Source organism: Homo sapiens, chromosome 3 (genome assembly GCF_000001405.40).
Source record: "Homo sapiens chromosome 3, GRCh38.p14 Primary Assembly".
In the NCBI taxonomy this organism is placed as follows: Eukaryota; Metazoa; Chordata; class Mammalia; order Primates; family Hominidae; genus Homo; species Homo sapiens.
The window spans coordinates 21,432,147-21,446,122 of record NC_000003.12 but is presented as its reverse complement, the minus strand read 5'-3'; the positions used below and the strand labels follow the sequence as shown (position 1 = coordinate 21,446,122).

The window sequence follows — 13,976 nt, the reverse complement described above, 5'->3', positions numbered from 1 at the left end:
AGACCTCACCCTATACATACTGAATCAGAAACTCTGATGCTGGGGCTGGGCAGTCTGTGTTTTGTCAAACTCTTTGGGTGATTCTGACGCATACTAAAGTCTCACAATCACTAGTTTATACTAATAGGATTCTTTTTGATTCGTGAAATTTCCCCAACATCTTGGCCCCATGATAGGGGGATGTTTTGAGAGCCAAAGGAGCATAAAGAAAAGAGTGAAATAAATATTATTTGAAAAATTATAAGAGGAAAATGATTAAGGATGAAAATTTCACTTAGGAGGTCAATGATATGCTTTTTTATTGCTATGCCAATTTTCAGTCTAGCACCTACCTGACAGGGATATAACTCCAACTTTTAAAAGATAAGCAAATGCCTAACAAATTTGATGGCAGCAGCATCCGTGTTTATCAATTACCAACAGTCTGGCAGACACTGTTCTAGTTATGTTATGGAGTATATTTATATACTAAATGAGTAGAGAATATAATCCTCTTTGACTTAGAAATTAAGGCACTGACATGATAAGACATTGATATAGATTGCTGAGGTGATTGTTATCAACTAAGGACAATGCTTTGATATTAAATTAGGCTAAAAAGACATGCCAAGGCTTCTTTCCTAGAATGAGTCCCTAATTTACAGATGCTAAAGAAAAGAAAGAGGGCAATTTACCTTGTAGAGAAAAAAAGTAATAATACTAACTCTAATCAGCTTATCTCTCTTTAAATAGAGAGCTTGTATTCTGAGGGCGAGCTTAAGTCAAGCCACCTGATCAGTCTTGTAACCACTGGAGAGATGAGCAGTGTTTAGTCATGTCCCTAATACTGTTATTGTCAGTCACCCTTTTACATCTGTCTTTTTCTGTTGGCTTCTTTCTTTTTAGGTTGTAGGGGAGACCCATTGTCTAGAGAGAATATACGCTTTGACTTGATGAAATCCCAGTTTAATCTAGAAAGGTCCATTTTGAGGTTAAGAACATTTCGGAGATGTGGAGGTTGAAGATATAAAGTAGGTCTCAGCTTTGGCTGGCCAATATGGGATCCTACTTATCTCCTCAGGGGACTGGACAATTCGTGTCAAGACTCTGTGCTTCAGGAGCCTCTGCTTCTTCCTCCTTCATGGTCCAACTTTCCTGCCCCTTCTTCATCTCATTAGCTTAACCCTCAGTTGCCTGACCCAAGTCAAGGTGTGTGACCTGGTCCTGATCACCACCTCTTTTTGGGGGCTTCTGCAACTGTGCTCTGTCCTGGCAACCTGCTTCTGTAATCTGTTTATCCCCAAATTTGAATGAGTAATAGGAATTGCCTAAATTTTGGATAAATTATCCTACAAAATAAAAGCATTCTCACATTGCCCTCTCAAATCACATGATCTTTGTAGAAAATGGCCGGTCCCTATGAAGCTAATTGATCTTTGGCATCAATAGGGAAATTCAGCTGGGCGCAGTGGCTCACACCTGTAATCCCAGCACTTTGGGAGGCCGAGGTGGGAGGGTCATTTGAGGTCAAGCATTCAAGACCAGCCTGGCCAACGTGGTGAAACCCCGCCTCTACTAAAAATACAAAAAAATTAGCTGGGCGTGGTGGTGTGTGCCTGTAATCCCAGCTACTCAGGAGGCTGAGGCAGGAGAATTGCTTGAACCAGGGAGATGGAGCTTGCAGTGAGCCGGGATTGCGCCACTGCACTACAGCCAGGATGACAGAGTGAGGCTCCATCTCAAAAAAAAAAAAAAACAAAAAAAGGCCGGGTGCTGTGGCTCACGCCCGTAATCCCAGCACTTTTGGAGACCAAGGTGGGCAGATCGTCAGGTCAGGAGTTCAAGACCAGCCTGACCAACATGGTGAAACCCCATGTCTATTAAAAATACAAAAAAATTAGCCGGGCGTGGTGGTGCGCACCTGTAATCCCAGCTACTCAGGAGGCTGAGGCAGGAGAATCACTTGAACCTGGGAGGCAGAGGTTGCAGTGGGCCGAGATTGTGCAACTGTACTCCAGCCTGGGTGACAGAGCGAGACTCTGTCTCAAAAAAAAAAAAAAAAAGAGGGAAATCCAGAAGTTAAATTTTTTAAATGGGCTCTGCTTCTGCCTTAATATTTTTCATTAGAATAACGTATGGTCTAATTTGCATGTAATACATGTAGCACATAGTGAGTTCAACAAGTAACCATTATGTATATGAATCTATTGTTGATGTAATTGCCTCAAACAGATAATAAATTGGACAGCTTTGAAAATCATCTCAAAAGTTTCAGTTCAATATTTTTGTTTTGTAAATTTTAAAATCTCCTTTCTAAAATTTTTAATGCATACAAGGCTTGGGAAATTTAGTTCAAATAATGTAAAGGTAGAAAGAAATAGTATAGTCACCCAATCCCTTAGAACATTAGAGTTTCATGCAGGCTACTATGGGGAACAACTTGTCACTTGATGAAAAGTATATGTGATTACTTTTTGCATGGAACTACCAAGTCACAGACCATTAGAGACACAGTGAAATCAGTTTGAAGTGCAATTCATTTTTCTAATGTTTTCTAGTAATACTTCTTCCAGCTTATTCTTCTCAAGGAGAGTGAATTCATTGTTCCCTCCACTCTTATATTAGAGTCCTATTACTCTTGCATATACAACTTATATTGCATTTATTTTTTACCTCCTGTGATTAACACAGCATCCTGTATATGGATGGGTTCTATAAGACAGACCCCCAAAATTTTCAGGACCGAGCATACAAATGGAGACTATATGCCATATATCTAAATATGTATCAAGTTTCGCCTAGCAACTCCACACTTTGTTCCCCAGGAATTGTCCTTGGGACCTGGAGAATAAAGAATCCCCTCACCTGAATCATCCTTGAGCCTGGTAGTGAAGCAGATTTGTAAGAACAGAGCGGAAGCAGTGCCCAAAGCCAGAACTTCTGGCTGGTGACTGGACCTACCCAAATCAGGTACCCTGCAAAGTGGAGTGGAGCACTTGATTTCTCCACAGCCTCATTTGGTGGCTTTGGGATTTCTAGGCCGTTTAAAGCACTTTCTACAGCTATACCACTCTAGCAGACGGGAGTGAGGAATTCAGAGCAGGGGGACTTTTTCTGCTTAGACATACATTTTTGTGATTTGGGGTGGCCAAATGTGTACTGTGTACAAAAACAGCCACTCTTTCTCTGGTTTCCAGATAGAAGTTGTGATATCTTCCAACCTCTCAACACACACACACACACACACACACACACACTTATACACAGATATACACATATAGCCATACATGCACATGCATACACATAGACATATACACTCATAAGTGTGCACACACACTTATGAACTCCCAGCCTCTGTACTCTGGCCTTTGGGGCACCCAGTTCAATTCTCACTTCCCTTTCCCATAATTCCCATCTGCTCAATTGGTTACAGAACCCTGTAGGAACTTTTTTTATTTTACAAGAAAAAAAAAAAAGCCCACAAATAAAGGGACTTTTAAGCACAGCCCAGTGCCAAGGCCATTCCTGCCTGGGTCTAAGAGTGTGGTATGGGCTCAATAAATTTTAGTTAAATGAGATAAAAGTGGTAGAAAAGAAACCACCAGGAATAATTTCTAAAGACTGGTGGTTTGTTTTTGTTTTTGTTTTTGTTTTTGGTCAGAAGCACCTTTTTCTACTTCAGAATGTCAGCACATTTATGAGGAAGCAGCTGTTTTCTTCATTTCCTAGCAAGTCTGAGTGAGACTTAAATTCACATAGGAAAGAAGAAAATAAATCAGATGTAATTCTGAGCCTTCAATCTACAGGAAAACATGATGAACATCTTTGGGTTATAACACTAATCCCTGTTACCTGAGAGGAAACTCTAGTAACTCACCTATGGTTTTTCCACTTCAGTTATGAAGTCTGTAACCAGAGGAATAAATTTCTTGCCCAGACCATGTAACTTGGCTGCTCCATGTTACTATCCAAAATTCAAGTGTTGATATTTTTTGGAATCCTTTCTTATGCTTTATGGATTTTTTTAAAGAAGTATTTACAGTGTTTTTATACAAGACGAAGGTCACAAATGGGCCACTTTGAATACTGATGTTTCCTTTTATTCTCAACTGAAGCCCCATTCCACAACGTATTAGCAACCTGTTTTGATGCCAAAGCCAAATAGTGACAGTTGCAGTAATGAATATTTGCTACAGGGCGCTGGCAGAAAAATGGCACAGAAATGCAAGCCCAAACCATCTCAAATCTTTCTCTTCTCACTGAATTTCACCCATTATTTTTAACTCCTTGTCACATATATTGTCCCAGAGTCTTTGGTAGAGTAGTGCAAAGAAATCTGAATCAGCCTTTGGGAAACAGTAAGAAAAGCGAATCGTTTTCCTACTTTCTCATCTTTTGCAGGGGGAAAAAAAGGTGCAATGAAGCCCTGTGGTTTATTCTTACCATTCTGCACAAGAGGTTAGTTGAGAGCTATAGGTTTTCCTTTTCTTTCCTCCTTCTAAATGATTTTAAGCAACTTAATACCTTAGCATTATGGTATTTGGATATACGTAATTGACTCTAGCTTGGGCCACGCTTAGTTTCTTTTATAGTCAAATGTTTAAGATGTTGTCTTTCAGCATGCATAATAAATCAGGATGAATTCAATTATTTTATAAAAAATTAAATTTTAAACAATAAAAAACAAATGAAGAGCACATGCAACTGAGCCAGACTGTGTTCAAATCATTGTGTTACCTGTTGGCAGCTCTGGCGTTGGGCAAGTTCCCAAATTTCTCCATACCTCAGTTTTGTTGCTATGATGATAATGCAAATGTTGTGCACCTCTTGTTTTTTATGAGTTAATACTTGTAAATACTTTAAAAGTGCTTCCACGATGATTAGCTATTATTAATTTATTCATTGTTTTCTCTTAATATTTATTGAGTGCCCATTTCATGCCAAGTATAAGTGCAAGAATATAGCAAAGAATAAAGCAGATTAAGAAGTTTATAATAATAGTTATTATTTCAAGTCTTTATGGGATGTCTCATAAACTATTCTGCCACTAAGTACATGATCTATGTTTATTGGCCTTCTTATCCCCAGTGGCTTGGGACAGAACTTAGCACAAAATAGTTCCTTAATAAATGTTGATGTAATAAAGTTTGAGTGCATGAGTAACTGCAGGTAAGATAATACACACTAGATTTGGCATTGGGAGATACAATGTCAAGTCTTAGTTATTATCTCAGAGCACTATGTGACCTTGAGAAATTTCCTGAAACTTCTCTATCTAAAAATTAAGAAAACTATGCTATAAAGCCATTAAGCTTCTTTCTGATTATGATTCTACAAAGTAACTTGAATGATGCACCATTTGTTGACTGGTTATAATTCTGTTTTTCTTAAAGTAATAAACTTTAACTCTAGAATAGTTTTAGATTTGCAGAGAAGATTCAAGAATATATCAGAAAGTTCCCATATACCCTGCATCAAGCTTCTCTTATTGTTAACATCTCACATTAATGTTGTACATTTATCACAACTAATGAATCAGTATTCATACATTAGTTTAACTAAAGCCCATTCTTTATTTGATTTTCCAAGTTTTTACCTAATGTTCTTTTGCCCTAGAATCTCATTCAGGATCCCATGTTACACTGATTTCTCATATTTCCTTAGGCTCCTCTAGACTGTGATAGTTCTGCACACTTTCCTTGTTTTGATAGCCTTGCTAGTTTTGAGGAGTACTGGTCAGGAATTTGATAAATGTCCTTAAGTTTAGGTTTGTTTTCTGTTTTTCTCATGGTTAGACAGGGGTTACGAGAAGGAAGCCCACAGAGGTAATTTTCATCACATCATGTCAAGGGTATATGCTGCTGTTAACATTATCATTCATTTAAGATTCTATTTTAATGTGTGGACAATAATTATTTATAACTGGTAATTTAATGTACCATATTAAAGTAAACTTCTTTGCTATATGTATGCATTGTATAGAACAGATGACTTTCTTTGAATAAGTCATAATGCTAAAATATATTTACCTTACTTTCTTGGTTTAAAAAACACCCCTTTATCACTGTTAAAAGGTAAGTGAAAAATCCATTACTACTTAAAAATTAATAGTATTCCTATCTTTATGGAGTCAAGTTCTACATATTAAATTTAAGATAAAAAATATAACTTTTTATTTCTTTCACACTAACTACATGCTTAGAAAATAACAAATTTATGGTTAGCTATGTGGTCAAAAGTATTCCAGAAAGTAGACACACCAGAAGTTGAGTGTTGATATTAATTCCCCTAAGCCTGTCTCATGCAAGGAACTTGCCTTAAGAAATGTTAATACTTCACTAACCCCTAGGCACAGAGAATCTGATGTCTCTAATCTTCTGTTGTCTTTGGTTTAAATGTACATTATCCTCTGGGGTCAGAGAAACACTAACGTAGATGTCACAGGAATCGAAAGATTCCTGGTTTTGTTTATTCTATGCTTTTGTTAACAAATTGCACTATAAATAGGAAAGTTAGTTTAGGATTACTATGATCTATACTATGTGCCATTTTCAGATTAAGACCAAGTCAATCCAGAGGAAAAGTTGTTAGAGCAGGGTATTACTAGGGAAATCTTTACCATAGTAGATTTCAATGAAGTAAATACCCACAGTGTCACGCTGGCTTCAGTGTGTGGCCAAACTAAGTTTAAATATAATATCTGTATTTACGGTTATCACTCCTGATAGAGCTGATCCTAAGAACAATTTAGTGGTTTTAGCCCACTGCTCCCTGTGACCTTACTATGCAGAATCACAGTCATGGCCAAGAGTATCATTCCCAACTTTTTTTTTTTTTTTTTTTTTTGCCTCAAAATCTGATTTTCTTGTTCCATGAAATGCTTGGCTCGGGCTCACAATATACTACTTTTGTGTCCTTGGGAAATTTTCTTAACTTCTAGAGTTTTCTCATTTTTGCAGCTCTGTACTGTGGAATTACTTTATAAATACATACAATTTATACAATAAAAAATGAAATTATTTTATAAGTATGTACAGTTATTTTAAGTATGTAAAACACTTCGCAAATTAGCTACTTGTTGTTTATTCACAGATGCATACACACATGCTTTCAAACAATCATTTCTGGTATATAGGGGGCAATAATCAGCTATGGCACCATCTTAAAGTTGTCATGTTTTATTCCATCTCTAGGTTCTCAAGATATATTTTTGGCAGTTACTTCATATTTTAATAATGGAACATTAACAGGCAAATAAAAACTAATCAGGGAGTGGACCTTTCAGTGTGCAAGGGAATAAATGTATTCTAGTGACAAAACTTAGTGTTAGGGTAATTTTACTTATTTTTCTCTAGCCATGAGACACAGATTTGCAGCATGATTTTGAAAACTTGGCAGGTGAATGTTCTTTATGACACTGAAAGAGACTTACTTGATGATCTTAGCAGGTAGATAAGTGATTGAAAGTGTGTGAAGTGTCAGGCAAAGGAAACAAGATCCAGATGAGTTTTTTTTATACAACAGCCCTTCAACAAGGATTCATTTCTCTTTTTATTGACTAGTGTTTCTGATGCCCTATTTAGAAAAGCAATGAAAAACCTTACCCATATTTTCACCCCTATGCCTGGATGAAAGGGGATATTCCAGTTAAGAGTCATTCTGTAGCTGCAGTCAACTCTTGGTAGTAATGAACTAACAAGAAGTAAGCATTTATGCAGACAACACTTAATTGCAGACAGACCACTTGTCCTTACATCCTGGCCAAGTCTCTTTATCATGGACTTTTCAGTGTAGCATTAGATAGTGACCATAGCAGTATATGGAATGAGAGACAGCTTCAATAGCAGATGTAGCTGGAGAGGCAGCCTAGGAATATTTTGGAGAGGAAGTTAAGAACTAGCTGAGAGGCAAAAAAGTAGTATATGGGTAGATAGGATATGAGTGTAGAGCTTATTTGCAATTTGTTATTGGGTATGGCAAACATTGCTAACGTAACAGTGATTGGCATATTTGGAAGGGGAGCTGTGCATACCCAAGTAAAGTTAAGACAGGGTAGTTTTACTTTGGAGATTGATCTCTCCAGATTTAGCATCAGACTTTAGAGCCAGAAGGGTTGTAGAGTTACAGTGCATCAACATTTTCATGATCATTTAACTCTTAAAACAATGTGACAACAGCATGGTGTGGCCATCCTGCGAATTCCTTGTGAATAGTGGCTATTGATGTCTGAATATTTTTGCCACAAACTCCCTGCGTACAGCTTGGTACAGGGCATGTATTTAATAGATATGCTAGACTAGTCTTCTTCTTCTTTTAATATTGATGATTTTTGTACCTTGTGTTGAATTGTAACTCTTTGCAAATAGAGCAATGATTTTCTGAACTGTTGATCTGGTCAAAGCAATTATGGCATCAGGGTTCCGGTTTTTTTTTTTTTTTTTTGTATAAGCATTTGCAAAAGGATCTGTACCTGTTTTTTAATTAAAAAAAGAAACAATGAAAGACAGAAGTAAAATAGATAAGTAGTAAAGAAAAATCAAAGTATCTTAAAAGCATTTATCTTCTATTTTAATTGTTTAAAAATCTAGAAAAAGCCATTTAGAAATATGTATTGAGAGACTACAATATATTATAAATATTGTTGTACTAAGGCTATGTGTTAACAAGAGAAATTTGTGGATATTTACCCCATAGAATATTTTTAACTTGTATTTATATTGATGTTCAAGAATCATCTGAAAGTGTTATTTTAATACATAAAATTAAATATGGTCATCTATGTGAATTTTTTTGTGAGGTGATTGATGCATCCTTGACAAACAGCAATTGCTAGCTGCTCTTATCATTATAAGCAGAATGCAATATTCATGATACATTCCTGAATAGGGAAAGATAATACCATTGTTTTTCCCCCTTTTTTCTGTGTTATTTTGAATACAGACGGTACTGCAGGGACACCAGCAATATCAACGACGACAACTGTGGAAATCCGCAAAAGCAGTGTTATGACAACTGAGATCACCTCTAAAGTGGAAAAAAGCCCAACGACAGCCACTGGCAATAGCTCATGTCCTTCTACTGAGACCGAGGAAGAAAAGGCAAAACGGCTTCTTTACTGTTCGCTATGCAAGGTTGCTGTCAACTCTGCCTCGCAGCTGGAGGCGCACAACAGTGGTGAGATGCAGCGATTTCTTTTTTGTTTCAACAGCTCTGCAATTATCTTCCTCTGAATAGATTAGATCTTTTGCAGCAGGGGACAAAGGGGTGGAGGAAAACTGGCAATTATTACATGGAAATCATTAACCATTAAAAAATAAAAATGACGAGCAAAGTGTCATTTATATAGGGGCAAGGGGTGGTTTCCAGGGCTCGAAGTCCATGGTGTGTGTGTATGTGTGTGTTATTAAACATTAGGAGATAAAATGAAATACAATCCTAAAATGTGTTTTGCATTTATATGATTTCTAGTTTGTTTATTTATTTACATGCATTTGCATCTAAATGACATTTTCTAAAACTGTACCCATAATATTGTCGCAAAATGTGTAGTTGCGTGACTCTAAGCACCTTTGGTTAAAACCCCTCTATTTTGATTTTTATGAAAAAAATAATGTTATTTGGGCTAAATCTATGGAACCTGGACAATTAAAAAAGTGTTTATTATGTGCCCATTCAGATGTGATTTCTAAATGTACTCTTTTTAGTTACTCTTTCCAACAACTTTGCAGTAGCTTAAAAATGTTATTCTTTTCAATTGTTTGAAGCTCAGAGAAGGCACAGAACATAACCAATTAAGTGACAGAACCATGATTTGAACCCAGATCTGTCTGACTTCAACACTAATTCTCATAGCAGGGAGGAAAATACTGGAATACTGACAAGCCGGGATAAAATGCTCTCCCAATATACCCATATATTTTGGTTCCATCTTGCTGCTCTGTATGTGTATATATATATACCCCCTCATCTGTGTGTACACACACACACACACACATACACACAGTCTCGCAAACAATGATCAGCTTTTCTCTAAAGACTGGATTCATTGCCAAGATCAACTTTTCTCAAAAAGACTGGGTTCATTGCCAGGACTCTGTCAGCAACTATAATAGAAAAAGAATCATTTGTGAATCATACCCTGAGTTAATATTGCAGCTGTATGTTGAGTCATTGACCAGTCATTGTGCTGCACTGGTAATATTCAAGTATTGACTTCAAGACTCTAAGGAGTAATAGCAGATGGAGAACAATTTCTTCAACACACACCTTCCTCCAGCATATAACGTTAGTTGTAATGAGAGAGTTCATGAGTTCAGGTACTAAGAAACACAGAAAAGTACCTGGCCTTAAGGTAGAATCTATACCTTGCAGATTTTCCATGTGTTTATTCATGCAAATACATTTCTTCTTGAACGCAAGATATTTGGGAAAGTATAAACATCATTGGTAGTCCATTTATTTCCCAAGAATCCTTGGTCATTCCGCATAGTGACTGAGAAACACATTCATTTTGAGAAAGCATCAATCTTGACAGATAAACACACCATGTCCTTTGAGACTAGAGTTTATCAAGAATTTTGGTGGGCTGTGGTGTTTTACACCTGTAATCTCAACACTTTGGCAGCTGGGGTAGGAGAATCATTTGAGACCAGGAATTTGAGACCAGCCTGGGCAACAAAGGGAGACCCCCATCTCCACAAAAAATTATGAAAAAAAATGTTAGCTGGGCATGGTGGCATGTGCCTGTAGTTGCAGCTACTCAGCAGGCTGAGGTGAGAGGATCTCTTGAACCTAGGAGGTTGAGGCTACAATGAGCCATGATCGCGCCACTGCACTCCAGCCTGGCTGACAGTGAGACCCTGTCTCAAAAAAAAAAAAAAAAAAAAAATTGGGAGTTGTTCTTCTTGAATTCTTATTAGAAATATCTGATAAAGAAACAAAGAAGGAATTACTTGTCAAATTAGGGCAACATTTTTCCTATTCTACTTCCAGGTCCTTATCTCTACTTTGTGTGTCAAAATTACCCCAGAGCTTTAAAAATGTATGTACCCAAGCGCTATGCCCAGGGATTCTGATTATTATATCCAAGTCATGGGAAGCTGTAGTTTTTGGAGAAAAATAAATAAATAAAACTTCAGTGTTTTGCAGGCAGAGCTGAGAACTATTATAACAATCTTATCCAAGAGTTTAAGGAGGTGAAATGTGGCTGTCACCCTTTACTTGAATTCCCTTATAAGAGTGTTCTCTCTGAACCTTAGGCCTAATCGGTGGAAAGAAGGCCACTTGCCTTCTTTCTAAGCTGCTCCTTGGGTTGCCTTTTCCCTGTATTTTCCCTCCTGCATCTGAGATCTTTTTCTGTTTGAAAAGAACCCACTCCAAAATCCTGGCCTAATGCTCATTTTAGAGCTCTCCTTAGACTTGCACTAGCAAGCTGTGTCAGGACTAAAGGTAGCAAGGGAAGAGGAAAAGACACATAAATAGTTGCTGTTTGACCCCCTCTGTCCACCATTTTTGATCTTCAGATCCAGCTCTATTATTTGTAACTTGAACAGTGTTGGAAGGCTCACCATGTCTAGGATTTCTTCCAGATGTGGATAAATGTGAATGCAATCTTACCTGCACTAAACAACTGCCACATGCATACTGGCTCCCTCTATATCTTCTCCCTAGGGTGTGGTATGGGGAAATCCAGGGAACAAAATAAAGAAGAGAAAATCTAGAGATACCTGCTCTTCTGCCAGGAATACTAGCCACAGATGTAGGATTCATCATATGATCATTGTGGCGTGTTTCAGTTTGGACTCCCTCAAGAGCAGATTTGGAGACAAGGATTTGAGGGCAAATAGTTTCTTAGGGAGGTGAAGGAGGTTAAGGGAGTGGGTAACAGAAAGAGGGAAAGGAAGGCAGCCCAAACGGAATGCATGATTTAGCCAACTACCAAGTTGAACAATTGGGGCTGACCAAATGAAACTGTTAGACTTCTGGCCTGCACTCCGTTTCACTGTGTTAAACATAAAAACTTCTATTGGTCATGAAAAATGACAGAATTAAATTAATTCCGATTCTATTTCTTCATATTTATAATCACTGTGCTATCATTGTTAATTTATAACCTAATGTTTACATTTTTTAAAAAAAGATGTAATACCGCAGGGCTTAAATGCATGAACCGTGCCCTTAGTGAGCTCAAAGTATTTGGAACTGTTATGAACTTACTAATGACACAAAAACTTGTTACTGAATTTGTGTGTGTCTGGAGCTCATGTGGTGTCAATTACAAGATAAGTAATAAAAATCTGCGAATTTAATATACACTAAATCTTAATGGTAACCACATTAATTGTTTAAAATATAGACTAACAAAATATTTTTTAGGGAGTAGTCCTTTATCGCTGATGTTATTTAGAGTTGCCAGATCATAGTGCTGGTAGAAAGTAGTTTGCCTAGGCCGTTTAGTTCATTTAATTGTTGTTTTCTAAATTCTCTTTAAATATACCCCACTATTGTCTGCATTCAGAGAAGACAGCAATCAATGCCCCACCTTTAGAACTCCACTGTTTCCTACACTTAGCCCTGCCCCTCTAATAGTGCTTCAGAAACACTTCTCTGCTTTCTTTCAGAGCCAGATATTAGAAAGCCAGTGTTAAGATTGGATTGTGTTTTCAGGGAACCAGGTTTGAAGGCCAATTCTGATCTGAAGCAGCCAGGCTGCAGGGTGGGGAAATGTTTCCCTTGCATCCGAATAATAGTTCTAATTGTTTTTCTTGTTTTTCCCCTTTAGAAACACATTATATACATAAAATAGGGTCTGTAGCATTAAGTATAGAAATGTGCATCTATGAGGGGAAAGCCAATGATCTTTCAAAACATGTTTTTCAATCTTAGAAAATGCATTCTGAATTCTAAACAAATGACCACAGCCAAATTTTGGGAATGCAACTTCCATTAAATGCTATCAGTGATATAGGACAGCAGAATGGACTAGAAGTGATAAGAGTTAAATTTTGCCCCCAGATATGCAGAGAACATTTCTATATGGACCTGGGCAAGTCAGTTGTCCTCTCTGGGCCTTTGTATATATCTGTCTTTCTATCTCTCTTTCTCTTTCTCTGTTGCTAATGGAGTTAAGAAGCCATAATGGCATTTTTAAGGATCAAATTATGTCATGATTATTAGCATGACCACAGCTGCTCCTGGCATTATTTGGGGATCAATTGTGTTCTTTCATTCGCTTTCCCTTTGATTTTTCACTAGTGTGTAACCATTTGAAGTTGCAATTAATTGATATATATTCCATAAGATTAGAATACAGGATTTGAACAGAGGCATTCCTACTTTGATTTTTTTTTTTTTAATTTGGAAAGGGAAGTACCTCTTTTGAGCTAACTAGTGGTGTTTACAACAGTCTAAGAATTTTTTAAACACCTTAAGAGGACATAGTCTTTTAAAGAGATTTGGAAGCCCTTCCCTTGACCTATATGCTATAGATACAAATATTACAAAAGATGTGTTTTTCTTTTTCTTTAAAAAAATTTCCCCCCACAAAAAAAAATTCCCCCAAATATCCTAGTAGGTAGTGCTCTGCTTAGCTAATTTTGATGGTTTTCCCTGTAAAATTTGAAAGAAAAAAAGAAAAAAACCTTTGAGATCGTTTATAGTTAAAGCTCATTACTAATTTAGCAACATTGGATAATTTTTGCTAAACACATTCTAGTTTTTGTCTTATATGTCTAGACAGAGTTTATTCTATCCCCTCACCAAGTTTCAATATGCAGAAAAGATAGTTATCAAATGACAGACTTTACTAAATTTTAAAATGCTCAGAGGGTTCTAAACTTTTGCCTTAACAAAAGCAACAATGTAAAAAAGAAGGATAAGATTGATTAAAATTTGTTGAGCAGATCAAAGTGTCAAGAATAATCCTTAAAACAATAAATGCATTTAATACATTTCAATAGAGCAGATAATTTCTTTTCAAAATAAATGAGGACATTGAA

At 36.8% G+C, this 13,976-nt stretch overlaps 1 protein-coding gene across 20 annotated transcripts in view; it reads left to right on the top strand.

Moving 5' to 3' along the window:
• ZNF385D (zinc finger protein 385D) overlaps positions 1-13,976 on the top strand; it is a 960,546-nt gene that overhangs the window by 926,641 nt on the left and 19,929 nt on the right. For 10 of the 20 annotated variants that reach the window (XM_017007191.2, XM_017007199.2, XM_047448956.1 and 7 more), the window contains 2 exons: positions 4,381-4,437; positions 8,920-9,153. In XM_017007191.2, the coding sequence (XP_016862680.1) occupies positions 4,381-4,437; positions 8,920-9,153 (291 nt within the window). Of the gene's footprint in view, positions 1-2,804; positions 2,950-4,380; positions 4,438-8,919; positions 9,154-13,976 lie in introns of those variants that run through there. The other 10 variants (NM_024697.3, XM_017007192.2, XM_047448960.1 and 7 more) reach the window with 6 other exon arrangements.